At 36.0% G+C, this 26,865-nt stretch overlaps 2 protein-coding genes across 11 annotated transcripts in view, besides 4 other annotated features; one reads left to right on the top strand and one right to left on the bottom strand.

Moving 5' to 3' along the window:
- Positions 1-19,323, bottom strand: part of TPR (translocated promoter region, nuclear basket protein) — a 63,602-nt gene extending 44,279 nt beyond the window's left edge. Inside the window, exons 1-15 of the mRNA NM_003292.3 lie at positions 18,948-19,323; positions 17,429-17,533; positions 15,040-15,113; positions 11,956-12,052; positions 7,412-7,515; positions 6,907-7,071; positions 6,358-6,450; positions 5,859-5,939; positions 5,692-5,779; positions 4,835-4,975; positions 4,343-4,434; positions 3,869-4,066; positions 2,613-2,720; positions 1,467-1,693; positions 356-519 (exon numbers count right to left, since the gene is read on the bottom strand). Coding sequence (NP_003283.2) covers positions 356-519; positions 1,467-1,693; positions 2,613-2,720; positions 3,869-4,066; positions 4,343-4,434; positions 4,835-4,975; positions 5,692-5,779; positions 5,859-5,939; positions 6,358-6,450; positions 6,907-7,071; positions 7,412-7,515; positions 11,956-12,052; positions 15,040-15,113; positions 17,429-17,533; positions 18,948-19,098 — 1,888 coding nt within the window. The 5' untranslated portion in view covers positions 19,099-19,323. The remainder of the gene's footprint in view (positions 1-355; positions 520-1,466; positions 1,694-2,612; positions 2,721-3,868; positions 4,067-4,342; positions 4,435-4,834; positions 4,976-5,691; positions 5,780-5,858; positions 5,940-6,357; positions 6,451-6,906; positions 7,072-7,411; positions 7,516-11,955; positions 12,053-15,039; positions 15,114-17,428; positions 17,534-18,947) is intronic.
- Positions 18,458-18,507: a silencer, noted in NCBI's record as "silent region_1648". NCBI's record gives its function as "represses an Ori minimal core promoter by ATAC-STARR-seq in GM12878 lymphoblastoid cells {active_cell/tissue: GM12878}" and the evidence as "EXISTENCE:reporter gene assay evidence [ECO:0000049][PMID:35858748]".
- Positions 19,068-19,367: an enhancer, noted in NCBI's record as "active region_2246". NCBI's record gives its function as "activates an Ori minimal core promoter by ATAC-STARR-seq in GM12878 lymphoblastoid cells {active_cell/tissue: GM12878}" and the evidence as "EXISTENCE:reporter gene assay evidence [ECO:0000049][PMID:35858748]".
- Positions 19,528-19,577: an enhancer, noted in NCBI's record as "active region_2247". NCBI's record gives its function as "activates an Ori minimal core promoter by ATAC-STARR-seq in GM12878 lymphoblastoid cells {active_cell/tissue: GM12878}" and the evidence as "EXISTENCE:reporter gene assay evidence [ECO:0000049][PMID:35858748]".
- Positions 19,748-19,937: an enhancer, noted in NCBI's record as "active region_2248". NCBI's record gives its function as "activates an Ori minimal core promoter by ATAC-STARR-seq in GM12878 lymphoblastoid cells {active_cell/tissue: GM12878}" and the evidence as "EXISTENCE:reporter gene assay evidence [ECO:0000049][PMID:35858748]".
- ODR4 (odr-4 GPCR localization factor homolog) overlaps positions 19,908-26,865 on the top strand; it is a 59,194-nt gene continuing 52,236 nt past the window's right edge. For all 10 annotated transcript variants that reach the window (XR_007061319.1, XR_007061320.1, XM_047423438.1 and 7 more), the window contains exons 1-2: positions 19,908-20,044; positions 23,837-23,954. Coding sequence is in view for 8 of the 10 variants with exons in the window: in XM_047423438.1 (XP_047279394.1) it covers positions 23,856-23,954 (99 nt within the window). In the remaining 2 variants the exon portion in view is untranslated. The remainder of the gene's footprint in view (positions 20,045-23,836; positions 23,955-26,865) is intronic.

Genomic DNA, 26,865 nt, shown 5'->3' on the forward strand with positions numbered 1-26,865 from the left:
ATGTATTAAGATTTTTTGATGGTTATTAGAGATAATTCAGTATTTATGGGTTAAAACATAATCCATATTTATGTTTTATTAAAACATATCTGTTTTGGTCATTAAAACATAACCAAAATAAATACTGTAATTCATTGATTCTGAAATGCACCTTTTTCAACAATAGAAAGCATTTCTTTTTAGCAATACATAAAATAATGGTATGTTTTACAGTTGATGGGATGTTATAAGCAATTATATATGGTAGTCAAATTTGAAGCTACCATCATTAGAGTGGCTATTGCTTATGTTGCAAAATTAATCCCTTAATATACATTTCTAAATTATTCCTTAAAATAACTTTATAAAAACCTACCATGTAATGGAATGGCAACTCCTGTTGTTTGTGACAATAAAATACGGTACATATCACGCTGACGAACTATGGAATCAACAAGCTGCATTTGATGCTGTCGTGATTTGCGGAGTTGTTCTAGTTCAGTAAGGGCACTCTCAAGTTTGAGCTGAAGCTCAGTGATTCTGTAGAAAAAGTCGGCCTAATTCACAGGACTGAACTGAGAGTTAACTGATTGTAATTTCTACTGTAATTAACCAAGCATCTTTGCCTACCATTCATCATACCATTTTTGTCTCTCTCATTATTTTTTTTCATGCTGAGTATTTTATGAACTACTTTTTAAATCCCCACCACACAGGACTCAGGTACTTATACTTACCAATGCAATCTGAAAAATTTGTTTGTAAAAATTAAATCAGTTCCACTCACTCCAAACTCTAGTCTTCTTGCTTTCTTAGCCATTCTTCCTCTTCTAGAAGACATTATACATGTATTTTGAAAAAACCTCTGACTAATTCTTACATAGGTTCTCCAGGTTCTCCATGAAGCCGGTCTGCTCCCTGAAATCTAGGACAAGTCCTCTACCGCTATGATCCCACAGATAGGCACTAATCACAGTGAATGCAAATTGTCTACTTGCCTATTTTATTATCTATTTATTACATCTGTCTTACCCATAACCTGAGGTCTTGGAGTAGAAATTTTTTGTTTGGTATTGTTGCTCAATTCTTTCCTCCCTATATCACTATATCCCAAGTATCTAGCACTGTTAGGAACACATAGATTTTTTTTGCGGGCAACAGGGTCTTACCCTGTCGTCCCACTTAGAGTGTGGTGCATGATCATGCTTCACTGCAGCCTCAAACTCCTGGACTCAAGTGATCCTCCCACCTCAGCCTGTCTCCTGAGTAGCTGGGACTATAGACATGTGCCACCACACCCAGCTAATTTTTTACTTTTTTTTGAGACATGGTCTCACTATGTCGTCCAGGCTGGTCTCGACCTCCTGGGCTCAAATGATACCCCATTTAGGCCTCCCAAAACGTTGGGATTACAGGCATGAGACACTGAGCCTAGCTGAGGTTTTCATAAATGTTTGCTCAACAAGCTGAGGTATGTGACTACTTACTTGGATGAAGTTGTTTCTTGTTCTTCTCTTTCTCTGGTTTCCCCAAGCTCTCTAAGGGCCACTAAGAGACGTTGATTTTGTTGTTGAAGCTCTTCAATATTTCTGTAAGATACTAGATGCTGTGATATTACCTCAGATGAACTACTTATATCAGCAGAGCTTACTTCCTCATCACGAATTACGTGGTTACCCCTTGCTTCTTCAAGTTCCATCAAAAGCACTCTAATCTAAAAACAAAGTTTTAATATGTTATAAAATAGTATTAGTTACAATTCTGGACAAGTTTAGAATGAAAGTTTTCAAATTAAAACATTACTTATAAAACCTTCAACTTGTACTGCCTCAAATTATCTTTAAAAATAAAGCATCCTTGGATATTAAAATCTAAACAATCAAATTTTAATAGAATAAAATTACTTTTAAGTATGTATTGAAGGCTATTACTTATTACAAAGTAGCCAAATTACAATTCCCAAAACATGGCTCCAGTTTTGTAAAACAGTGATCAAATAAAACCCACAAATATCTATTTTTTTGTGTGTGCTTTTGTATATATGATAGGGCAGAGCATGAAAAATAGACATTTAAACAAAAAGCATATATATAATGCCATTCATGTGAAATTTTTACATTTGTGCATTGCGTGGATGTACACACACACAAATTAGGGTAAAATATATGAATGAGACATTAATTTATTGATTTGCTTGTTAAGTGTCAGAGTAATGCATACAGTCCAGTCTTACTTCAGTAAAATCAAATAATTCTTACATATGTTTATATATGCTCATGTATATACACATACAGAGAAGGATGTGAAAAAAATACACAACTGTCTGTTAACTTAGCTACACTTTGGGACTTCAGAGGGTAGAGGGGTAGAAATTGGAGAAAGCTTTTATTTATCTTTGAATTATTTCTTCATTTATTACAACCAACACGTATAATTTAAAAATTTATCAAACATTTGAAAAAAGGGAGGGGCTATGAAAAGAAACAATGGGGGTGCAACTCTGCTCGAGTACTATTCCTAATTAATTAGAATTTCATACATGGTAGTTCTATCTTAGGTACCTTCAAACAGATTCAAAGATTACTGGGCAGTCAGGTTTTTAAAAGTAGGAAAACAAACAAAAAAATTCTAACCTGTTGTGAAAGATCTTTTACTTGTATTTCCATTCTTCGATTATCTCTCTCAAGTACAGATGATTGCTTGTTGGCTTTATCAGTGTCCTCCTGCAATCGCTGAATCTCCTTTAAAATGTAAATTCAAGTGAAAATTTTGTACTTCCTTCTAGGATTTATACAAGTAATAAAGACATACAATACTCAAACACCACCAGTAATCAACTTATACACTAAATAAAATCCTACATAATATTGTAGCCACTAAAAAAGAAGTTTTGTATAAATTTGAATATGTTATTTCTCATTCAGACAATAACAAGCTTCAGGTAAAACCCTCACTTTCAACAGAGAGAAAAATTCAAGGAAGATCTAATTGGATCCAAGGGCTCTCTTGCAAACTACACTGCTGGTAAAAAAGTCAATATTCTCAGGCAGGCGGGACTGCTAGACTTCACTTGATGAAGAAGAAAAAAACCAGCTGATATAATAAAGTACTTGGATTTAAACTGACTTCTAAATTATAACAGCAACAGAGATTTAATTTTGAAATAGGGATATATTTATATTCTTTTCCAACAAAAGGGAAACAATTTATCAGTTTAGAAGAGTAGATATAAATTCATTTAACTGAATTTCCTCCATAAAACTTGTTCAAGAAATCTTGACAATTTCCCTCAGTAATGTTAATAGTTGTACCATAAGGCAAAACATTCAGAGTATAACCTCTTTTTCCATCAGTATCTCTTAAAAGGAAAAAATCTTTATGAATTTCATTAACACTTCTAATAAGCAAATGAGCAATAACAAAATAATGCATATAGAGACACGCCAAATTGTGAAATGGTATAAAAAAGGAGTTCTACCTATGGTCAAACAATATTATTATTTCTAGGCAGGCTATTACAACTGTCTGATAAAGAATGATTATGGCAAATAGGAGAGTTTTATTACACAGAGATTATTTTAATTTGAAGAGCAGTTTTAGGAGATTTGGCTATTATTCTCTAGTTGAGAATCCTAAGGAAAACATAGTAAATGCATTAAAAAAAGGTTAAAATGCTTTCACAATTTTATATAAAAATTGAAATACATAAAAATTGCTAAATAAAGGTATGACGTTTTGAGATCAGCAGTGTTTAATAAGTTTCAAAATGTGTTTATTGAAAATCGTATTTAGATTTTTCTGACTCAATCACCTTAAGAAAAAAAAATACCTAGTAAATCATTTCTCATTTGTATTGTTACCACGGCTAAATTTTAGGAATGGAACCAACCTTCATAGCTTGTTCAAGCTTAACAGATAAACTTGCTACAGCTTTCTGTGCACGTTCATATTCCTCACGCTGGCGTTTCAAAATTGGTGCTTTGGCTTCCACTTCTTTCACTATTTCATCTAGGTACTTATTAATTCTTTTGTTCTCTAGTTTCTCCAAAAGCAACTGATCCTGAGTTTCCACATAAGCATTATAGAGCTGAAAGTAGACAAAGGGTTGTTTCAAATCTAACCATAACAACGCAAATATTTAGTTGATCTAGTTTCATAATAAACATTCTTTAACACTAACACAAAATGGCAATGTTTACTATGTTAGTTACACAGCACTAGGAACCAAAGAAAGCCTTTCCTAGAATGATCCACTAATTATAAGATGATTTTAAAAATAAGTTTTGGGAGAATTAAATTTTGAAGAGATTTGTATACATTTGCTGAAGAAAAAGAATTTAACAACATTTAATACCATTCTTACCTCAGTTAGTTTCATCCCAGGTTTCACTATCTTAGCTACAGCTGCTGCAGTAGGAGACATGGCGGCAAGCTCTTCTTCAGACAATATGGCTCCTGTGCCAACAAATACACATCTAGTATAATTTGTAAAATTCCAAACTAAAAGCCATTAATAATTTTTCAAGGTAAGTGACATGTACTGTACATTATATAGTAATTCCTATAAAAATTTTAAATACATGACATCAAAAAGTCATGTAACACATCTAATTCTAAAAAATCATGCAATAACCTGGGAATTTACAAGACTGTGTGTGATCAAATGGTATTTATATGCCCGATTCTGTAAAGATACAGGTAAGAGTATTAATTTTAAAACAAATTCTATTAATATAACTCGATGGAGTTTCCTACATCACAGCATGACAGATAAATACTATTAGTGAAATTAAATGACTTTTATGTAGGAAAGCTGTAGTATTTCAACTCACTAACAAGCATCTATTAGCCATACCTTTACGTTTTGTGGCAGAAAGAAGGTCATTTGCATTCTCTAATTCCTTCTCCAATCTCCCTATTTTCTCAAGCATTTCTTTTTCCATTTGATCTTTGGATTGCTCCACCTCTAGAAGATGATCTTGTATTGCTTTGTTGGCTAAAAAACAATTTTAAAGACCAAATATTCAAACATACAGTTAAAATTTTAGTTTACAAAATGCAACAGATCAGTCACTTCTCCCCTCAGCAGATAATATTAAATTTCTAGAGAGGCTTCAGCTGACAGTATCTATTGAAAGTTCTTGCTCTACTTATAATTTTGGAATTGTCTTCGCCTGGTGTTTCTCCTTTTGATGTCTCTTACCCACAAAGAAAATAAGGAAACCCAAAGGGTAAAAAGTGGTTCTAGGTATATCTTTGATTTCGATTTTGATCTTTAATCCTAAGTAAAGGAAATTATTGGAAAAGACCATAAATATAATACATTGAAAAAAGCAAAAATTTGAGGAAATAAAAGACTTTACAAAATGCAAATAAAGAGGATGTCTTATTTATAAAGTAAGAGTATTCAAACATTATCAGAGTAAATGTTTCAAAAAAGAAAACTTTCTCATTAGAAATCAGCAAATTATACAAGATTATTAGATAAAAAACAAACAAAACCCCCTGCTGTCTGTATTTTCAAAAATATATAAACTTACATTTGCTTAAGATATAATTCTGAATTTCCTAATCCAAAGTTCTTTCTTCTGTACCTAATTCTGTCCCAAATAAAGTCTAACACCTAAATCCAATCATCTATACAAAACAAGGGTAAAAAAAAAAAAAGAGTACAATAACAAAAATAATGTTCCCATAACTGAAAACACTTACCTTCACCAGCTTCTTTCAAAAGTTTGTGTAGTTCCTCTACTGCCCGGGTTAGTTCATTGCTCTTTGCTTCTGAGTCATCAGCGGCACTCTAAAAGTTAATCTTAAAAAGTTACCTAACAGTCAACAATGCAACATTTAGATACTAACATGTGTGGTGGGATATTTACCTTGTACAAATTAGAAAGTTTTATGTGGGCATTTAATTCATTGTGGAATTTCTCTTCCATACTGGCCTGTTGTTCCTTGGCCTGAAAAAAATAGCCCAATTATAGCAGTCTACTTTGAACTAAATTTAGAATGCTTATCAAATGACAAGATGAAAAATTCCATTTTTGTAAAGTAAGAGCTAAATCTAAAACACTCAAATTCAAATCAGTCTTCATGACAAAGATAAATTAAGGATAAAATATTACTAATATTTTAAATTCAAAGTAAAATAATTAAACAATAAAATTAACCCATACTCATTTTTTAGATAGTATTTTCAATATAACATATAATTGCTATTTCTGATTCTATTTTAGCCTAGCTACAGCATATGGAAGGAGGACTCTCACTGTTTTATGGGGCCAAGGACAGATTAAAAAATGACATCATTTTGTGAAATAACAGCTTCGTAAGTGCTTTAGTATTTTGTAAAAAAGACATTTTAATGGTCATATATACCTCTTTTAATTTGGTCAACAGATCCTCCACATGCTTTTGAAGATGTTCATTTGATGTTTTTAAGCCATTCATTTGTTCTTCCAGTCTAGAAACCTAAAAACAAAAAATAGAGCAGGGGGAAAGGATGTCATATTAACTGAAATTACTCTGACATGAGGTTTATGCTGCTAAGGAAAAGCTAAGTAACTCCCCCTCCCCACCTGAAAAAGCAATTAAAATATGCATATTTAAGAAAACTAAGAGTAACTGCTCACAGAACAATGTTTAGATTTAGCTCACAAAAACTTACCACCACTTCTTAAACAAACACATATTTTAGGAAAGATATATCGTAAGACAGTAGATACTAACCAGATTTGACAAAGAATCTTAAATTCTTTATGTAAACGCAATTGGTTGATTTTTTACGCCAAATGTAATGCATTATTCACATTTAACCACTCATCTTACAACTAATCAGGTACACACTACTGAATACATATTTAATAAACTGACATACAAATGTAAGTTATACTCAACATGAAGAAAAACACAATTTTACTAACTTACCTCTTCTTTTTTATTTTCAAGATTACATTTAAGCTCTAGAATCTCATTCCCTTTTTCTCTTCCAAGAGCCAGAAGTTCATCAGTTTTGGTTTTCAACTCTGTATTCAGCCATGTATTCTGACTATGTAGCAATTCCTTTTCTTGCTCCAAGCGTTTTTCTCGATACTAAAGAAATCCAAGAAAATAACACGTACAGTTAAAGATGATATATGATTATTCAAAAGATTTTGTCTGTAGCTAAGGGACACAAGCAGAATTTTATTTCAAAACAGAAATTAAGTATTTGCATAGATTCTTAACTAGAAAACATTAAGAACTGTAACAAACTTAAATTTCAAACAAGCAAAACAGATGAACTAGAATTGTCCTAATGCTTAATTTTCTGACATTAAAAACAAAACAAAATGCAGCTTTTAATTACTTTATTGCCTATATTTGAAATTTAATTTAGGTGAGTTTTAATAAAAAGCTATAGTTTATGCATTAGGAATCATCTGGTACTTGCCTTAACAGAAACATCAGAAGCTTGAAGTTCATCCAATTTTAACTGAAGTTCACCCTTTGTTGTATTGCTTTCTTTAAGTTTTTCATTCAGACGTTTAACATCCTCTAGAATGGTGAAGAGAATTAAAAAATAATAACTAATTAACACTCAGGGGAACCAAATATCAAAAATATATTTCTAGGAATATAAACCTTTAATACAAAGTATGCACAGCTGGCCCTTGAATAACACAGATTGGAACCATGCAGATTCACTTCCACTCATATTTTCTTCAATAAATATATTGGAATTTTTTCCCAAAAACTTACAATTTGAAAAACTCAGAGACCACAGACCAATCCAGGCAGCCCAGAAATGGGAACAAACTAAGAAAAAGCTACTGTAAGTGCATAATATGTACTAATATGTAGATATTAGTGTATTTTATCATTTACTACCATTAAAATATGCACAAATCCATGATACAAACTTAAAAAATTTATCAAAACTTATGCACACAAACACTACACAACCCTATCTGCAATCAAGAGAAATATAAGCAAATATAAATATGCTTTATTAAACCATAACTGCATAAAATTAACTGTAATACATACTGTATTACTGGAATACTTTCATAGCCACCTCCTGATACTACTGCAGTAAGCTCAAGTGTTTTGAGTGTCTGTATAGAATGCTGTGTGACTCTATTGTGAGCAGTTTCTCTCTTCAGTAAATTGCATAATGCAGAAAATAGTAATCTTTTGAAGTTTTTGCATATTTGTCATTGTGTTTAGTGCAATACCATAAAACTTGAAATCTTTTGAAGTTTTTGCATATTTGTCATTGTGTTTAGTACAATACCATAAACCTTGAATAACAACATGGGATCCATAAGAACTGCCACTAGTGATGTTGGAAGTACTTCTTCTAAGAAGCAGGGAAATATCACGACAATATTTTAAAGAGTTGAATTGCTTGATATGTACCACAGATTGAGGACTGCAGCGATGGTTACCCACCATTTCAAGACAAATGAATCCAGTATATGGACCGTTGTTTAAAAAAAAAAAAAGAAATAAAAAGAAAATTCGTAAAGCCATCACTGCAGCTACGCCAGCAAGCATAAAAAAGTGCATTTCTGCAAAATACCTTCCTATCTCGCATTGAAAATGCAGCTTTTATGGGGTGCAGGATTGCTATCACATACCTATAGACTCTAATATGATACGAGGTAAAGCAAAGTTATTATATGACAACTAAAAGCAAAAGGAAGGTGACAGATCTAAAGCTGGAGAATTTAATGCCAGTAAAGGATGGTTTGATAATTTTAGAAAGGTTTGACTTATAAAAATGTCAACAAAACTGAAGAAGCAGGTTCTGTCAACCAAGAAACAGCAGATGCTGCTAAGAAAATCATTGAGAAAGGTTATATGCCTGCACCAGGTTTTTAATGCAGATAGAAGTGTACTATTCTGGAAAAAACAATGCCACAAAAGATATTTATTAGTAAGAAAGAGAAGGGAGCACCAGGATTAGGGCAGGAAGGGATAGGCTAACTCTACCGTACTGAGCAAATGCAGTCAGGTTTATGATAAGGACTGCCCTTATTTATAAAGCTTTTAACCCCAGGGCCCAAAGGAAAAAGATAAACACCAGCTGCCTGTCTTCTGGTTACACAAGAAGAAGACCTGGACAATGACAGACCCCCTTCTCTGAATTGGTTCCACTCATGCTTTGTCCCTAAAGTCAGAAAGTACCTTGCTAGTAAAGGGGCTGCCCTTTTTTTTTTTTGGAGACAGTCTCGCTCTATCCCCCTAGCTGGAGTGTAGTGGCATTATCTTGGCTCACTGCAACCTCTGCCTCCCTGGTTCATGTGATTCTCATGACTCAGCCTCCTGAGTAGCTGGGATTACAGGCGCCTACCACCACGCCCAGCTAATTTTTGTATTTTTAGTAGAGATGGGGTTCTGCCATGTTGACCAGGCTAGTCTCGAACTCCTGACCTCAGGTGATCTACCTGCCTCGGCCTCCCAAAGTGCTGGGATTATAGGCATGAGCCACCGTACCTGGCCAAGGGGCTGCCTTTAAAGTTCTTTTGACTTTAGACACTGTCCCTGGCCACCCAGAACCCAGGAGTTCAACATGGAAGGTGTCAAAGCAGTCTACTTGCTCCCAAACATGTTTCTAATTCAGCCTTTAGATCAGGAGTCATAAGGACCTTTACGGCTCAATAGAGATGATACTTTGTGAAAAGAAAATGTCAACACTGTGGAAGAGAACCCCAACAGAGAAAATATCATGAAAGTTTTAAAGGATAACACACTGAAGAGGCCATCCCTTCTTTTTCATTACAGAAAAAGTTATGAAAGCCATCAAGGCTGAAATAATAAATTCCTGTTGGAGGAAACTCTCCAGATGTTGTGCATGATGTCACAAAATTTGTAACAGAGCCAATCAAAGAAATCATGAAAGAGATTGTGGATATGGCAAAAAAAGTGGGATGAAGGGTTTCAAGATACGGACCTTGGAGAAATCCAAGAGCTAATAGCCACCATATCAGATAAATTAACAGAAGATGACTGGATGGAGATGAGTGCTTCCAAACCAGTGCCAGACGATGTGGAAAAAGAATGTAGAACTAGCAGTGTCAGAAAACATATTGGTAACAGACTATCTGGTGGAAGGGTTCTGATTACCCAAGACTGCTTTTGATTTCTTTTATGACATGGATCCTTCTCTTACATGGGCACTGAAACTATAGCAAACGGTGGAAGGAAGATTGGTAATGTATAGAAACATTTTTAGAGAAATGAAAAAGCAAGTCAGACAGAAATTAGGCTGTATTTCGTAAAGTTACATTGAGTGTGCCTCCCTCTTCTGCCTCCCCTTCTACCTCTGCAACCTGACCCAGCAAGACCAACCCCTTTTCTTCAGCCTAGGTAATGTAAAGACAAGGAGGATGAAGATGGTTGTGATGATCCACTTCCATTTAATGTACAGTAAACGTATTTTCTCTTCCTTATGATTTTCTTAACATTTTTTTCTCTAGCTTACTTTATTGAAGGAGCACAGTATATAATACAGATCACAGACAAAACGTATGACAATCTACTGTGTATGTTATTGGTAGGGCTTCTAGTTAACAGCAGTAGTTAAGTTTTTGGGGAGTCAAAAGTTACACATAAATTTTCAACTGTGGGGGGAATCAGCAACCCTAACCACTGTGTTGTTTAAGGGTCAACTGTAGTTCTCAACTCTCTTATTTTAACTTGTTTCTGCCATAGTTAATTACAAATTCAATTTCTACAAATATATGACAAAAAATTGAAATTTGTGTATCCAAACTTGTGAATTATCCAAATTTATTTTAAATACAGTGTGTTAAGCTAAATATTCAACGTTAACCTTAATTTTCCTGATATATATCCAAAGACCTATTAAAATTTTATAAATAATCATTAAGCTAAAAAGCACTAATATAAAAACCTACTCAATATGGAATACACATTTTTAAAAAACTATCTATTAAATATCTAGATTTTATGAATTCGTTTAGTTGTAACTACCACTTGTTGATCAACACACTCAAGTATTTTGAAGGAACTCTTGTGAGACTGGGAAAGTATACTTAACTAATGGAATATTATTGTATAATGATATAAATATCTGAAAATCCTTTCTTTTATAGAAATAAAAAAATTTCAAAAACCATTAAAAAAAAAAGAACCCAAAACACCTTTTTTTTTTTTTTTTTTTTTTTTGATACGGAGTCTAGCTCTGTCGCCCAGGCTGGAGTGCAGTGACGCAATCTTGGCTCACTACAACCTCCGGCTCCTGGGTTTAAGCAATTCTCTGCCTCAGCCTACAAAGTAGCTGGGATTACAGGTGCGTGCCACCATGACTGGCTAATTTCTGTTATTTTTAGTAGAGACGGGGTTTCACCATCTTGGCCAGGCTGCTCTTGGACTCCTGACCTCATGATCCACCCACCTCAGCCTCCCAAAGTGCTGGGATTACAGGCGTCAGCCACCGTGCCTGGGCACCAAAGGAAACTTCTTACCATTAACTGCTTCAGAGTCAAGTTCACCTGACTACATCAGCTGTATTATATACTACAGTCTATGTTTATGTATTTTATGTCTCTGCCTCCTTCAGTCTGTTTATAAATATAGGCTGAGTATATGTTCTTATATTGAATGCTTATTATATAGCAAGGATGTCCATATGAAATAAAGAACAGTAGTTCAGCCTTTGCAAATATTTAAAGTGCTTCCAATTTGACATTATGTACAGCATTGTAGTGAAAATCTTTGCATGTAAAATCTGGTCCAAATTACTACTTCTTTGAGATGTTCTTCACTTGTGCACTTTCTAGACACTTCTTTAAACACTTGACAATGATTTAAAGATAAATGAGTAGGAGAAATAATAGGATATGACAACTCTATACTCAACCATAACAAAAAAATATCAGCAACAGAAATGGGCTGAGCACTAACTCCTAGCACTAACAGAAGAAAAATAAAGGAATGGAGCTAAAAGCTACAAGCACTTCTTCATACCTGTTAAGTATTCAAGTTCTTGAGATAGTCTCTCATTGGTTCTAATTAAGTCTCTTTTCTCAGCTTCTAATTCTTCCTTTGTTCTTGTAAATTGGCTCTGTCATATAAAGAAGTAATAAGTAAGAAAATCAAGTAGAGCAATACAGGAAAGCGAACATAGAATTGTCACTTTAGTTAACATCAGCTGTAGTGTAAATGACTGGCTTTCTCTTATAACTTACACATCAAAGTTAAAAAATACCCGTAATTCCAATGTTTCTATTTAAATTTTGGATTTTTAAAACATTTTTACTAGGCTTATGAAAATTTTTCTCATATCTCTTTTAATCACATGGAAATGTCCTAATAACTTAGAATATCACTGTATTTACACCTTAGTTCAAATTATTTTTCAAGAAAGATTCCTAAAAATTGAATTACTTAAAACTTTTAATATATTTTGTCAGCCAGGTGCAGTGGCTCATGCCTGTAATCACAGCACTTTGGGAAATCAAGCTGGGCCGATCATTTGAGTCTAGGAGTTCAAGACCAGCTTGGGCAACACAGCGAAACCCAGTCTCTACAAGTAGAAAAAAACAGCCAGACATGGTGGCACATGCCTGCGGTCCCACCTACTCAGGAAGCTGAGGTGGGATGATCATTTGAGCCCGGGAGGCAGAGGTTGCAGTGAGCCAAGACTGCATCACTGCACTCTAGCCTGAGTGACAGAGTGAGACCCTGTCTCAAAAACAAAAAACTTGTCAAACTGCTTCCCAGCAAAACAATGGCAATCTACATGTTTTTGAGTTAGAAATATCTATCTCAAGCTACCTATGTCAGAACTGTAGGTTGCCTTTTAATATTCTTGTTTCCTGTGTAGAAGCTTTTTAGTTTGATGTAGTTCCGTTTATTTCTTTTTGCAGCTTGAACTACTGATGTGATCCAAACAATCATTACCAAGGCCAATGTCAAGAACCTTTCCCCTATGTTCACTTCTCTGAGTTTTATGGCTTCAGGTCTTACATTTAGATCTTTCATCCATCTTGGCTTGATTTCGGTATATGATGTAAGCAACACAAACATCCAACATTCATTTCTTCAAATGTGGAAATCCAGTCTTCTCAACACCATTAATGAGGAGACGATCACAACTCCATTGGGTCTTCTTGGCACCCTTGTTGAAATTAGTTGACCATATGTTTGGATTTATTTCTAGGCTCTCTATTCTATTCCATTGGTCACTTTTCTGTTTTTATGTCAGTACTGTACTATTTGGATTACTATAGTTTTATAACAGTTTTCTAAATCATGAAGTATGATGCCTCCAACTTTGTTTTTCTTGCTCAGTACTGCTTTGGTTATTATTCAGGATTTTTAAAACTGATTCCATCAGAATTTCAGAATTTTTTTTTTCTATTTCTGCGAAGAATGCCTTTGGAATTCTGACAGGATTGGCCTGAATCTTTTTACCACTTTATAGTGTGGACATTTTAGCAATATAATTCTTCTTATCTATGAGTATGGTATATCTTTCCCATTATTTGCATCTTCAATTTCTTTCGTCAATGTTATATTATTTTCAGTATATGAATCTTTCACCTCCCAGGTTAAATTTATTCCTAAGTTGTTTTTTGATGGTACTCTAATGAAATCTTTTCTTAATTTCTTTTTCAGCTAGGTCATTGTTTGTGTATAGAAATGCTACTAGATTTTTTAATATTGATTTTGTATCCTTCAATTGTATAAATTCACTTATTAGCTCTGACAGGTTTTTGTGGAATCTTTCAGGTTTTCTACATATAGGATCATATAATCTATAAGTAAAGATAATTTTATTTCTTCCTTTCCAATTTGGGTGCATTTTATTTCCTTTTCTTGTCTGATTGCTCTTGCTGGTACGTCCAGTACTATACTGAATACAAGTGGTGAGTGGGCATCCCAGCCTTGCATTGGATCTTAGTGAAAAAGCTTTCAGTTTCTTTCTTTCAGCCACCAAGCAGTTAAATAAATTCTATTACTTTTTAAGTCACTTCATAGTTTTTTTTTTCTGAAAAATTTTATGTGACTGTGTGCACACTATTTTCCTCGGTTACAGATCCATAGTTTTTACAAGATTTATAAAGATTTTGTGACAGCTCTGCTTCTTTCCAAAAGATTAAGAACCTCCGTATTGGGTTTTATTTCTGGACTGCCTTTTATTCTCTGTACTGATTTTTATATCAGCATTGTAATATTTTAATAACCATAGCTTTATAAAACTTGAATATGTGGCTATGCAAGTACTTAATTTAAATTGATACTTCCTTTTTTTAGAAGCATCCTAGCTATTACTATGTTTTTTTCCCCAATCATCTTTAGAACTACATTAACAAGTTTCTGGCTATCTGACTTGGACTTAAGAGTCAAAATGTATTACCAACACATTAATTTGGAAAACATTTCCATCCAGAAATTTGCAATATCTTCATTTATAAAGGTATATTCTCACAGTTTTCAGAGAAGTATTTGAGTTTTCTTGGGTATTGAGTCATTCTTCATATAAATACATTTCTTACAAAGCCTTTCTAGGTATACTACGAGGCTTTTTTGCGCCTATTCAGATTCTGGAAGTAAATTTTTTTTTCCCTTCAGAAATGTGAAGAAATTATCTTTTAACACCAAATAAAATGCAAATTTTAAAAAAGCAATGGCAAAAGTATAAAGTTGTATCTGGTTAAAAAATAATTGCATGCAACCACTTTAATTAACAAATTTGTCAGCAATCCCTGTGATCATATTCAAACTGTCATTCTTATAAAACTACCCTAAGGAAATGACTACCAATGTGGATTCACCCAAATTCCCAACTGTATCACATTTGATATAATACCTGGACTACAGTCAGCATTCAATAGATAATTTCTGTTGAATAAAAGAGATGTCCAATCTATCAATAAAACATAGATCCAATTAAGGAATTTATATTTACATATTTTTGTTGGTAGCTTCCCCTAATAGGACATCAGTTACATCTTCCCATTGACTAATAACTGATAAACAATCAGAATAGAATGTCCCTTCAAGTAAAATGTCTACAATGAGCTTATTCTAAGAAATATCTCTTACCTGAATGGCAATATTGCGATCCTGAGCAATTTCAAGTTCTTTGTTTTTCTCAGTTAGTGCCTTCAGTTGATTGTCTGGATAAAAGGAATTTTATGAATACATACACATTTGCTTAAAACTTGCAATGAGTGTTTTTATGCAACTGCCAACCTTACATATTTTAATAAATGAAAAAACAGAAGCCCAGAAAGACTGCATTGTACATCACATTCCAAATTCATGAATGCATTCAAAATTTACTGTGTTCTAGACCAAAATTTTAAATATGCTATCCTGTCTCCAAATCAAATGTATAATAATCCTAGCCAACATTTATGGGGAAAGTCACATGCAATTAGTAATTCCTTTATTTTTCAGTGCCATCTTCTAAGTCAACATATATCATAAGAAACAGTGAACTGTACTTAGCAGTAAGAAAATGGAGTTAAAAAGACAGGATCAAGAGAGAAAAAGCATTTAAACTATATAACATGTATATACAGCAAATCACAATAATGAATATTTGCAATTCCTATCATTTATCACTCTAAATAGAGCCTTTAAAGAAAAAACATTATGCTTGATAACGCACTTATCAATCTCTCAATTGCCACTCAAAATGGGCTCTTTTCCCTTACATGCAGTTTCTCTTCTAAACATAGGCTAACTAGAAAAAATATAATTTTTAAAATTTTTCCAAAAATATACATTTTGAAACTGTATTTCACTAAAATACATATGTTGGCAATTTAATAAGCAAATACATTTTAATTAATTCTAATCTTAACTTCTATTTAAAGAGGACCATTAAAGCAAAAAAATCCCCATTAAATGTGTCTAAATTTTCTATTTTGTTTTAATATTATTTACTGCTTTCCAGACTTACTGATCCAGAGTATATAAATACACACACACGCGCGCACACATTAACTGTATACCACAGGAAGGTATCTGATGTATCTGTAGGTTCATCCCTTTTTCTCTTCTCCCAGATCTCGTAAAAGCTGTATTCAGTCATTTTTCTCAAATTCCTCGGCACTACTACTAAACAGATCTTTTTATTATGGCTAGGCAAAACTACATAGATAATGAACCAGATCTAGCTATATATGCTCCATCACACATGTATGCATATACATTACGTTTTTAAAATGAGGTGTACCAAAAGTAGCTGAAAAAAGTTATAACCTAAATAGTTGATGGTCATGGACCCATTAAGAAGGAAAGCTGCAATTTTAATCATTTGATTATGAACTTCCTGTGTTCCTTCTCCATCAATCAAATTAAAATTGAACTATATTAAGTATCAATTAATTATACCAGCCAGACACAGTGGCAATCCCAGCACTTTGGGACGCCGAGGCGGGAGAATCGCTCGAGGCCAGGAGTTCAAGACCAGCCTGGCCAACATGGCGAACCACTGTATCTACTAAAAATACAAAAATTAGCTGGGCCTGGTGGTACATGCCTGTAATTCCAGCTACTCAGGAGGCTGAGGCGCAAGAATCGCTTGAACCCAAGAGGCAGAGGTTGCAGAGAGCCAAGATTGCACCACTGCATTCCAGCCTGGGCAACACAGTGAGACTCTGTCTCCAAAAAAAAAGGAAAAAAAAAATTAATTACACCTTTATAGAGATCTTTCCTAATGTTCTGATGTTTGCTTTCTTAAAGCAGAAGCAGTCTACAGCCAGACCACCCTGAAGGCACCCCATCTCGTCTGATCTCGGAAGCTAAGCAGGGTGGGGCCTGGTCAGAACTTGGATGGGAAAAGCAAAGCACAAGACATATCATCCTCCTAAGAAATGTCAGGATCTTTAACATCTTGTGAACTTTCTAAAACTTAATGATGTAAGAAAAGTAAGAAAGAGATTAGCTATCAATCTTTTATAGGAATTAGGCCTTAAAGGGGAAATATCCTGAGATTCATAGATATTTATAAAAATTATTAAAAAATGGAGTTAAAACATAAATATAATGAAATCAATAGGCTTCGATTCTTCAACATAAAAACAAGCCACTCTCTACTTCTTTAGTTGCATAATGCTTTCACCTTTTTAAAAAGATTTCAAGAACTCTTATCTCATTTGATTTACAAAGCTGTCTAGGTAGACAGACATGTGGGTCTAACCATTTTATAAACAATAATCAGATACTGTTAAGATTTACATGTGGCAAAAGCAATTTTAATAGCAAAATCAGAATAAGAATCCAGACCTCCTGACCATTAAATTCTGTGTTCTCACAAAATCTTTACCACTAAGTGAAAAATCAAAATATCACCATAATAAAAACCAATGATGCTTAATCAATATTTTCATGTTTAGTAAGCAAATGTTTCCAAAGTATATAAAGGAGTCTCTGAAGATTTCGATACTCCGAGAATACTTACAAAGATGAATTAAATACTTACTGAGTTTCTCTAGCTCAAGCCGCAAGCTTTGACACTCTCGGGTTTCATTCACAAGTCTCTCCTGACTGTGGGACAACCTCTTTTCTATTTCAAAATACTGTTGTTCTACAGCAGACAAGCAAAAAACAAAAAACAAAATCAAACACATGTACATACATTGTGAATACTGTTATTTATTTCTAATAACCTTGATTTTAAAACTTAAGATACAGTATTAGAATTGTGCTCCACATAAGAGAATCTGAGTAAAGATAAATAGACTGAGCACTGAAAAGGACTTAAAGCATTTCCAAACGACTTACATGACAAAAAATAAAAAATAAAAATAAGGCCTAAAAGGGGCTTTACAAATCAATGTCTTCAAGGCAGGTAACCTCATTTATCTTAGTATTTTCTCCAGACATCAGTAAACTGCTTAATAAATAAAGTATTTATTACACGAGAAAAAATTGTTTAGACAAAAAAAAACTCCTTTGTTTTAAAAGACTTCTTTTATAGTAGTCAAGATATTACCTGAAAGCATAAAACTACTAAATATATGTAAAAGTAAATGTGTAAACTTTCCAAGGGAAGGGATTGAATATCATGTTCAGCATAGTATCAGGAACATGTAAGACATTCAATATTTATGGTGCAAATTAATAAATAGAATGCAATGTACTATACTCAGCTCTGGGATCAGAGAACTAATTTTCAAGGTCAATTCTGCTTGACAGTTACACTTTTTTTGAAGTAAAAACTTGTTCAGAATTTCCAGTCAACTTAGCAAGAACAGTATGAACCTCCCCAAACAAATGGTAAACCAAAACACATTAACGGGAAGTTTGTATTTTACTAATGGTAATGACTATATTCTTCATATTTTTTTCAAGGATGTTCAAGCCATTATTGTCAGTAACTTTCTTACTTAAAGGCCTACTTTAGGTAATTACAAGAAAATTTTAATGTTTTCTATCAAACTCCAACTTTTTAAGAGAAATCAAGATATATTAAATTTATGTACTGCACATTCACTGTGTTTCCAGCGCTCTTATGCACCTAATATTCATTTTTGTAAACATCTGATTCGTTCTGGAGCCACGGGACGACGCACACACTAAGAACAAGTGCACAGAGTGGTCAATTTGGCAAAGGCCTAGAATGCAGGTGCCTAGAAAATAGGGCGGAGCCACTATCAGTTGAAGTGCAACAAAACATATAAGGTACTCTAGGCTTAGAGAGATGGGTTCGCAGACTCTATCAAGTCTGTTTCCCGTCTGCCGGACGAAGGAAAATAAGCGTCCCTGTATGAGCCTACCCTAACTACAAAGAAAATGCTACTGAACTTAGATTCAGATTTTTTTTTCAAAGGCTTCTTATCAAACTGTAAGGAGCAGGAAAGCGAAGGCTCAGGATATCCACAGAGCCCAGGAAGTGAGGTTAACAGAGCGGTACCCAGTGCCAACTTGATGGGGGAAGACCAGACCCAAAGGGCGGGAGTCGAGCCCAAAACCAAGGACGGAAAGAGCATCTCACTTACCGCTCTCCACCTTAAATTTCTCATGCCGCCCCTTCAGGCCATCGATCTCGGATTGCTGATCAGCAAGGAACTTTTCAAGTTTGTTCTGGACAGACTTGGGCAGCTTGTTCAGCTCCGTGCGCTCCAGGACTTGCTGCAACACCGCCGCCATGTCGGTGGGGCCAGGGACCCCAGTGGCAGCGGCCGACGGGGTAGAAGCGGAGAAGAAAGGCGAAGACCAGCAGGACCCAGACGCCTGGGCCGCCGCCTCTATCACCTCGCTCGGTGGCTCGCGCGCGCCCGCCCGCCGGAGACTCCCGCGGCGGGACCCTGGGAAATCGAGTCCACCCTCAGCGGCAGCGTTTCAGCAACAGCACCTCACCGCCCGCGACCGAAGTGCGCGCGCAGCCGTTGGAAGCTACGAACCCTGGGAACCCGAGCTCAGAGGCTATCCCTGATCCTCTTGCGCACCCAATTTTCCGGCTTCCAGCTCCACCCACTTCAGGCCTTGTAGGGCTCTGGGAAATGTAGTGTTTTTCTCATTCTTTTCCGGGAGCCCAATGCTGCACCGCCCTCTCAGCTTCCGTTTTTCTCCCCGCTCCCCTGGCTCTCCTATCTCGGCCCCGTAACCGCTGTCCGCACGGTGGCGCCACATACGTACTCGTCACCCCTTGGCCCTCCCTGAAGAGCTGGTGACCTTACCGTCAAAGCCCCGGGATGCCATGGATCGTCCTCGTTGGCGGCTTCTGGACACTGAGCCACTAGAGGGCATCGGTCCCGGTAGGGCCGGACGGCAGGCTCCGGGATACCGCCACGCTCTCTATGGCGCCCAGAAGGGGGCGGGGTGGCGACCGCAGTCGCTTTGGCTGAGGCTCTGCGGGGAAGGGAGGGGGGGCTTTTACGTCATCAATCTGCGCCACCTGACTCCCAAGTCCCTGGCTTTGGAGTGGGAAGTGAGGTGTGGGAAGTAGGTCGCTTTCTGATGAATTCAGTGGCAGTGAATTGAGACCGGAGGGAATCTGGCCCCTAGAGGCTGGTACTTGGGCCCGAAACCCCCATCTCCGGCGGAGAGACCGTCCGAGGTAATTGTCTGCCACGAGTGCACATTCTGAAAACAGGTAAGTCAGCCTAAGTGTAGTGTGTGTGTGTGTGTGTGTGTGTGTGTGCTCTCTTTTCAAGAGAAAAAGGAAGGGACAGTGTTGGAACCATATGGACAGTCACTCCGGCACACACTTCTGACGAACTTACCTTGTGTGAAACGGCGTACCTAAATGGTTTTTGGTGGTGGGGAGGTGGCACTGAGTGATTCAGTACCCGGGAATTTAAGGACCCGGGTTAATTCTTCAGGAGGAGAATTAAAAGAAACCGGTAGCACTTTGAGTGTAGCCTATGTTTTAAATTTTTCGTTGCAGAAACGGTTACCTAACATTATATTGTTTTTAAAATTGAAAACTGTTGTAACTGAAGTTTTTAAACACATTGTTAATTTCTACAGTAACAGAACTTGTATGGTTCCAGATCATAATTCTGTAGTTTTAAAGCTCAATCCGTAGATTGTTTCGTGTTTACTCTTATGAAAGAATTTGTTAAATTATTCATTGTAAATAATGCATTCCCAGTGTCGTCTCTCTGCAGTTCCCACAGTCGTGGGCCTTCTGTGAATTGGTGATTTAGTTCTTATATGAAATTTATTCTTTTTCTCTAGTTCTTACTTTTGAATCATGTTGTGAAGCCGTCTAAGAAATATAAATGGAAGCATTTTATGATATTTTGTAATAACTAAGGAAAAATAAATCAACAGCGGAGCTTAAGGTTGATTTTTCCCCAAAAATATTTTTTAGATAAGCATTGTAATTAAAGTTGCTGGTATATGAAGTATTATGCTATGTCCTAAGCCCACAGTATTATCATACTGTTGATCTGTCATTTGGGAAATGTAGATTTTTCTGTACTTAGATTCACAGAATCCTAAAATTAGATAGGTTTTCAGATCTGCTAGGATTCAAATGCTTTATTTTATAGATTAGGAAACCAGAGCCCAGAAAGGTTGAGTTGTGTCAGTCACAGTGCTTGGACCACAAAGGCTTTGGCTGATATACAACATTTCTGGAAAATTATGACCCTATAAGGCAAAATACAGTTGTCCCTTGGTATCCGTGGGGCATTGGTTCCAGGACCCTCTCACCTGCCCACCCCATGGATATGAAATCCATGGATGCTCCAGTTCCTTATATTAAATGGTGTAGCATTTGCATATCTTAAATCATCTCTAAGTTACTTATAATACCTAATACAATGTAAATGCTATAGTTGTTATATTATATTGTTTAGGGAATAGTGACAAGAAAAAACATCTTTAATGATACAGATGTAATCATGCTTTAAAAAAATAATTTTTCAATCTGTGGTTGGTTGAATACATGGAAGTGGAAACCACAGATGTGGAAAGCTGACTATATACATTTTTAGTACTGCCTTTTATAAAGTATGGTTGACTACATTTAAAAATTTTGAAAGAGCACTAAAGAAAAATTTATCTGACATTCAATCAGATTTCATAATTGAATAGATTTTCATCTCCCTATTACATTCAGTTTCTTACACATTAATATGGCTACTAGGTGACACCCTAGAAGAAATAAGGTTAAAAGGTTAAATATAACTTTAGAATTACTTGTATTTGTTGCAAGAATTAAGAATTATTAGACCAGAAGGAAAAGGAGTATAATATGATATAGAGGAAAGTAGATACATAGAATTGCATACCTTAAGGCATTACTAAAAGGTAAAAGCCCTTAACTTCACAGAGGCAACAGTGATATTTAGACAAGCATTCCTAGACTTAGTCTCTAAAAAATGATATGCAAATCTGATTCACGTCTATTGTTGTCAAAAAAGAGCTAGGAAGGCCAGGCATGGTGACTCACACCTGTAATCCCAGCACTTTGGGAGGCCAAGGCAGGCAGATCACACGGTCAGGAGATCGAGACTATCCTGGCTAACACGGTGAAACCCCGTCTCTACTAAAAATACAAAAAATTAGCCGAGTGTGGTGGCGGGTGCCTGTAGTCCCAGCTACTTGGGAGGCTGAGGCAGGAGAATGGCGTGAACCTGGGAGGTGGAGCTTGCATTGAGCCGAGATCGCGCCACTGCACTCCAGCCTGGGCAACAGAGCAAGACTCCATCTCAAAAAACAAAAAAAAAAAAGAGCCAGGAAGAAATTAATGTATTTTGAGACAAAACTGAACAAGCTCATTGAAACAATAAGGAAACAGCCTCCAGTAGGACATTTCAGACTTGAATCCATTCTCTGGGCTTTAGTTTTAAAATGCAAAACCGTTTTGTGACTGACAGTTTACTGGTATCAGATATACCACCCCAGCATATCTCTGGTAGCCTTAACTTTGTGGTACTGAATAAGATTCACATTTTTAACAGAATCCAAATGATGATGATTCCTAAATTGCAGTGTTCAAAATACTGTAACTGTGTTCCTGCAGTCTCTGTTTGTTTTATAGCTCTTTTGGATATCATCTCTTTTACATTTTCATCCTCACTGATTATGAACTCCTTGATTTAATCATTCATTATATTGCCTAGCTCTTTTATTCAATATCTTTGGTTTTAAGCTATAGAAATGCAAATCAAAGGAGCATAAGCCAATAGAGGGAATGAATATACTGACTTCCATCCACAGACCAGAGGGAAAACAGAGTAAGAGCTACCCGTAGTAATGATTTAATTGAAGGACTGGTTACGATTCCTCATTATGAGCGTGGTGTTGAAAAACATGGATTCTAGAGCCAGAGTGTCTGAATTTAAGTCCCTCCTTTGCCACTTACCCAGCTTTGTCACTTTGGCAAGTTATTTAATCAACTTTTCTCATTTCAGTTTCTTCATCTATAAAATGAGGATTATAATAATGGTACCCACTTCCTGGGGTTTTATGAATTATTAATGTTACATGGAAAGTACTTACAATAATGCGTTGTACAAAGTAGAAGCTATATGTTGTTATTGTATTGCTATTTATCTACTTAAATAACTCTTACTGTAGTATGTATTGCTCAAGGACAGAGATTGTGTTGCTCATCTTTGTGTTATCCCACTTAGCATAGTTTCTAAGCAAATAGTATAGTTCTTTCATATATGCTTATCAAGTAAATGAATTTGACTCTACCTCCTAATGAACTATTCAGAAATTCATGTTTACGATTTTAGCAATGAGAACACCAAGACTTAGCAATAGAGTATCAAAGATAATACAACTAGGGAGTAGATCTAAAATAAGAAATCTGGTGTGTTGGCTGGGCATGGTGGCTCACGCCTGTAATCCCAGCACTTTGGAGGCCGAGGCGGGCGGATCACCTGAGGTCAGGAGTTCGAGACCAGCCTGGCCAACATGGTGAAACCCCGTCTCTACTAAAAACACAAAAATTAGCCGGGCATGGTCGTGAGCCCCTGTAACCCCAGCTACTCAGGAGGCCGAGGCAGGAGAATCACTTGAACCTGGGAGGCAGAGGTTACAGTGTGCCGAGGTTGCGCCACTGCACTCCAGCCTGGGTGACAAGAGCAAAACTCCGTCTCAAAAAAAAAAAAAAAAAAAAGAAATCTGGTGTGTTGCTTACTAGTTTAGTATCCTCTCCCTTATCCCAGGTATGAGTAAAAGGTTTGATCTCTCATGTCAACTCTGGTTGATTTGTGGTTGTTTCCTGCTGCATTGTATTGAGAAGAACTCTGGAACTGCATCTGAACTTTGCAAGAAGGAATACACTATGTAATAAGTATTTGCTGCAAGGCATGAGATAGCCTCAGGATAGTATCACTTCTCTTGCTAAACTACTCCCATGATAAAGACATTGCAAATGATATTTTACCTAAATGCTGTATCTTTTCTTCTTGTGATATAGGAGATTTTAGTTCCTAAAAATGGGAAGAACCTACATTGTAGAAGAGACTGTTGGCCAGTATCTTTCAAACATAAATCTCCAAGGAAAGGCTTTTGTCTCTGGCCTTTTAATAGGACAGGTATGTATCTTTTACTCTGCATTTATAACTAAATAATTACTCTGTAATTTATTTTAAAAATTACTTGTTGATTTAAAGTTAAAAGATGCTATTTAATAATAAACTCAAGATTGGGGGATGGAAGAAGAAATGTGGAAGAAGTAACTTTAAAGTAGGTCTTTGAGGAAACATGGAGAAGTAGACAAACCTAGCCCAATTTTGCTCGTCAGGACACCTTCCCCTTTGACCATGTAAACGTAATTTATAATATGGAAACTTCAGAATTAGAATGTTTATTGACCAGATTTTTCACATTTTGTTGTCTTTCCAAAGTGTTTTGTATTCCCTTCTAATCTTTTTAATATCTGGTTGTCCAGTTCTTTACAAAAGAAGCTTTTGAAAATTTTATTCCTGTTCTAATTTGTGTTGTCTTATATCAGACTTATGGCAACAGTGGTCATATTTTTGTTGTAAGCTATAGTACCCATCTTACTGAATTTTTTGTTGTTGTTGTTGGATCAATAGGGAGGGAGAGGGATTGGGAAAAATTTGGAAATTAGACAAATTCTAATTTCCTCTTAGAGCTGAGTCTTAAAAACACAAAATGGAACAGAGATTCAGATACTTATTTTAAAACCCATGCCACTGATTTCTTATGAGTGAAGGAAGAACGTGTTAATCGGCAGGAGGGACCGGTCAGCAGTACAAAGCCAAAAAAAAAAAAAAAGGAGAGTCACACAGGCAAGCTGACTGTGTCCATCCAAACACAGGAGAGTGCACTTTGGCCCAAGGACTTGATTTTGAGGCCTACTAGCCAATAAAGCTCTTATTGGGACAATTTTCTTTCTAGATATCTTAGCCTGATGCCTTAGAATCTTCAAATTACATAATTAACTTTCCTTATTCTGATTCTACCCATATTCCCAAGCTACTTTCTTTTATAATTTGATGCCCCATGTTATCTACTTATAAAGAATACACTGTCCAGAGGACTCAAGTGTTCAGATGCCTTCATGACATTTTAGTTTTCTACATCATTCTGAATAAACTTAATCAATGTCAGTCTAGCCATGAAAGACAGGCTCATTTTCAGAATTTTTACAAATCAGATTTCTTAATTTGCAAGACAGAGGGCAGATCTACATGGTTCAACCAGGTAGCACCACTCTGTGAGGCCTCTCATTAGACAGCCAGACTGCCTCTCTTGAGAACAGTGTGAATTTCTTTTTAATTCAGTTGTAATGTGGGGCTCTTTTTGTTAGGAGTTTTCTATTTAAGTTTTTTTCTTTCTCTTTGTTTAAAACATTTAAGAGAAGAAGAGTCTTAGAGAAAGATGTGATCAGTAGAGATAAAAAGTCAGGGAGAAAGACCCTCTTCTAAATTTGTCTTAACTGGATAAAGGTTGTTTCTAAAGCTCAGGCAAACTGCCATCTTACAAATGAGTGTCTCATAATTTAAGGCCTTCCTTCTTTTTTTTTTTTTTGAGACGGAGTCTCGCTGTCGCCCAGGCTGGAGTGCAGTGGCGCAATCTCGGCTCACTGCAGGCTCCGCCCCCTGGGGTTCACGCCATTCTCCTGCCTCAGCCTCCCGAGTAGCTGGGACTACAGGCGCCCGCCACCTCGCCCGGCTAATTTTTTGTATTTTTAGTAGAGACGGGGTTTCACCGTGTTAGCCAGGATGGTCTCGATCTCCTGATCTCGTGATCCGCCTGCCTCGGCCTCCCAAAGTGCTGGGATTACAGGCGTGAGCCACCGCGCCCGGCCTAAGGCCTTCCTTCTATCTCTTTTTATGCTGTAGTATGTATTGCTCACGGACAGAGCAATTCATTCCTTTCAGTATTCTACGTGCTTTTTCTTCCAGAGTTCATTACTTTTTCCTCTCCTTCCTCTTAAGCTTGCCTGTTTCCTGGTCTCTGTCAGTTTCTTTTTCTTTTCAAAGTTATACATTTTATGAAGAAAAGAGGAGCCTTCTTAACTGAGACCTACTTTCTTTTCCTGTGTTTATTTGAATGTAACTTCCTGAAAATAACCTGTAGGAATAGTTACTCTTATTTTCTATCCCAAGATGATACTAATGATCAGAGTTTCAGGTCATGTGTGGGGAAGATACAATGCTAACTTGCATTAGCAGTGTTATTTTCACTCTTTTTTTATAGGAAACTTTCACTGTAGTGAAACTGAGCTATTGAATGTTCCCCTACATTTATTTTTAGATCTCCCAACTTTGGTTACTACTTAACTGATATTACAGCTGAAGAACAGATTGGGTGTGGTGGCTCATGCCTGTAATCCCAATGCTTTGGGAGGCCGAGGTGGGAGGATTGCTTGAAGGTCAGAGTTTGACCTAGCCTGGGCAACATAGCAAGACTCTGTCTCTACAAAAAAGTAAAAAAAAAAAAAAAAAAAAGCCAGGCATTATGGCTGATTGTTTGAGCCTGTAGTCCTAGCTACTTGGGAGACTACTTGGGGGGAGGATTGCTTGAGCCCAGGAGTGCAAGGTTGCAGTGAGCTATGATCACACCACTGCACTCCAGCCTGGGCATTAGAGCAAGACCCTGTCTCTAAATAAATAAATAAATACACACACACACAAAGAACAAAAAACAAAACAAAACAAAAAACTTGAGGAACATAGAATCTGTATCACTTTAAATTGTGTCCCAAATCCCCTTTGTTATTCTGTGGAAATGTATGTGGAAGTTCCCTACTGTCATCATTTCAATTAAAATAAGATACAAAAGGTCACTTGTTGTTTCATTTTACTAATATTTTCCGATCTGTTCATTTATAACTTATAAAACAAATATAACTAGAAAACTGAATAAGCATATTACTTTTTAGTTAATGTAATTCATTCACTCATCCAGTAAACCATTTTTAGGGACCACTCCATGATTTACATTTGAGTTGTCCAAATAAATAAGAAGCTGATA

Source organism: Homo sapiens, chromosome 1, assembly GCF_000001405.40.
Source record: "Homo sapiens chromosome 1, GRCh38.p14 Primary Assembly".
Taxonomy (NCBI): Eukaryota; Metazoa; Chordata; class Mammalia; order Primates; family Hominidae; genus Homo; species Homo sapiens.